Source organism: Homo sapiens, chromosome 12 (genome assembly GCF_000001405.40).
Source record: "Homo sapiens chromosome 12, GRCh38.p14 Primary Assembly".
Taxonomy (NCBI): domain Eukaryota; kingdom Metazoa; phylum Chordata; class Mammalia; order Primates; family Hominidae; genus Homo; species Homo sapiens.
Window position 1 is genome coordinate 46048208 of NC_000012.12, and position 2696 is coordinate 46050903.

General features: G+C 47.0%; 2 annotated features.

Moving 5' to 3' along the window:
* Positions 625 to 1126: an enhancer, noted in NCBI's record as "H3K27ac hESC enhancer chr12:46442615-46443116 (GRCh37/hg19 assembly coordinates)". NCBI's record gives its function as "activates a minimal SCP1, AML or CMV promoter by ChIP-STARR-seq in naive and primed H9 embryonic stem cells {active_cell/tissue: H9 hESC(naive and primed)}" and the evidence as "EXISTENCE:reporter gene assay evidence [ECO:0000049][PMID:30033119]".
* Positions 1127 to 1626: an enhancer, noted in NCBI's record as "H3K27ac hESC enhancer chr12:46443117-46443616 (GRCh37/hg19 assembly coordinates)". NCBI's record gives its function as "activates a minimal SCP1, AML or CMV promoter by ChIP-STARR-seq in primed H9 embryonic stem cells {active_cell/tissue: H9 hESC(primed)}" and the evidence as "EXISTENCE:reporter gene assay evidence [ECO:0000049][PMID:30033119]".

The following is a 2696-nucleotide window of genomic DNA, read 5'->3' on the forward strand; positions in this document are numbered from 1 at the left end:
AGGCTGTAGGAGAGCACTTTGTTTCTCCCAAGCCCTGCAGCTAACTTGGGGAGAGGCTTGGAGACACCGTGAATGAAAAACACCAGGGAGAGCTGCAGACATTTTCCTAGACCCAGCGCTGAGAGCAGGATGCCATTTTTAAACTTGGCGTGTACAAAGTCAGCTGTTCCTTGGTGAGCCAGCAGCATGGCTGTGCAGGCATTTTAGTCCCAGGCCACAGATTGCAGCACTTGCTCTAGAGCTGAGTAGGAGCCTCCATAGCCAGAAATGAGGAAAGTGTCTCACCAGTAGGCTCTGGAATCATGTTCTCCCCTGTTGCAAGCCTAGGGTAGGAGGAGAGCTGCTGTAGCTGCAGTTTCTCCTGGGTGGCAAGATTTGCAGCCAGGGCCAGCTTGGTGACCTGGAAGTGGTCTGTGTGTGCCATTGCCGGGTCCTCCATCCTGCTCTCCTGAGATAGAGATGGAGCAGGGCCCTCTCTGCTCTACCCCTGGGCTGAAATCAGGCATTTGGAGCACCTGCTTGCCTGGATGAGCAGCCTGAATTTTCCCATCCTTCCTGGACATAGATATTTCGCAGCAGGCTCTTTCTGCTCTATACCCAGGTAGATCTGCAGGCATTTGGAGCACCCATTCACCTGATTCAGCAGACTAGCCCACCCTTTCTGTGCAGAGGTCATGGTGCAGTGGGGCTCTCTCTGCACCATGTCCAGGCAGATCTCCAGGCTTTCAGAGCATTCACTCACCTGTATTACCAGCCTGACCCACTCCACCCTTCCTATGAAGAGATCATGGTGCAGTGGGGCTGTCTCTGCTCCACACGCTGGCAAATCTTCAGACATGTGGAGCACCTGCTTGCTTAGTCCAACAGCCTGAGCCACCCCATCCCTCCTGTGCAGAGATCTTGGAATTCGGGGCCCTCTTTGTCCTTTGCCCAGGCAGATCTCCAGGCATTAGGAGTATCCACTTGGAGTGATTCAGCAGCCTGAGCCACTCCACCTTTCCCAGACATAGATCATGGTGCAGTGGGACTTTCTCTGTACCACACCCAGGCAGATCTCTAAGCATTTGCAGCATTGTCTAACGTGGATCAGTAGCCTGAGCCATCCTACCCTTCCTGTGCAGAGATCCTGGTGCAGGGTGGCCCTCTGTGCTACACAACTAGGCAGACCTTAAGGCATTCAGAGCACCTGCTTGCCTCATTCAGCAGTCTGAGTCATCCCACCCTTCCTGTGCAGAGATCCTTGTGTGTGGGGCCCTCTCTGCCACACACCCAGGCAGATCTCTAGGCATCTGGAGTACTCACTCTCTTGGATTAGAAGTTTAGGCCATCTCCAAACCCCTTGCAGTGAATCTGGAGCCAAGTTTTCCCAACATCATGCCTAGGCACACCTCTGGGCACTTAGTGGGCTGCCCACTGGATTCTCCCTCAGTGCTGGTGCTGGTGCCTGCTATTGGGAGAAAAGAAGGTGCACCTGCCAAGCCTGCCCCTGTCCTTCATGGCCCTACACCTCCCCAGGGTTGAGCAGGGAGCTGAGACCACTGTGCGTTCCATAAGTCAGACCATTTCCTGAGGCAACAGAGAGCTTCTGCCAGTAAATAAGGATCAAGTATATACCCAGCCATGTTGGCTATAGCCAGCTCTTACCTATAAGCGCCATCTAATGGGCTTGCAAGCTAAACTGCACAGCCCAATATAAAACATTCTGAAAGAAGTGCATAGGGCTATAGAACAAAGTCAAAATACCCTACCCAGCATTCACTACAGTTACCCCTCCCCACTGGGAAGGGGGTAAAGGAAAAGGAAGAGAAAAAAATAACATTATAGGGAAAGTGAAAAAAAAGAAAAATCCTACCCACATGAAAATAATTACAAAAATTAGAAGTGCAAGTGTCTCCAGATGACAAGGAACCAGGGCAAGACTTTTGGCACCATGAAAAATATGAATGTAGTGACACCACCAAAGGATTCCACTAGCTCTCCAGCAATAATCCCTAATAAAAATGGAAACTCAGAAGTGATAGATGAATTCAAAGCATGGATTGCAAGGAAGCTCAATGAGATCCAAGGCAAGACCAAAAATCAACACAAAGAAATTTATAAAGAAATCCAGGAAGTGAAGGAAGAGATAAACATCTTAAAAAGAAATCAATTACAGCTTTTGAATTTTAAAACTCACTTAAGGAATTTGAAAATACAATAGAAAGCTTTATTGATAAATTGGACCAAGCAGAAGAAAGAATTTCAGAATCCGAAGATTGCTCTTTTGAATTAACCCAGTCAGACAAAAATAGAGAAAAAAGACTCTAAAAATGAACAAAGTCTTTGAGAAATATGGGATTATGTAAAGTGATGAAACCTATGAAATTATTAGCATTCTTGAGAAAGAAGGAGAAAAAGTAAACAACCTGGACAATATATTTGAGGGAATAATTTGAGAAAACTTCTCTAATCTTGCTAGAGAGGGAGACATCCAGATACAAGAAACCCAGAGAACACCTGAAAATACCATACAAAATAAACATCACCAAGGCATACAGTCACCAGATTGTTCAAGGTCAACACTAAAGAAAAAACTTAAAGGCAGCTAGAGATAAAGGGCAGATCATGTACAAATGGAACCCTATCAGGCTAACAGCAGACTTCTCAGCAGAAACCCTACAAGCCAAGAGAGATTGGTGGCCTATATTCAGTATTCT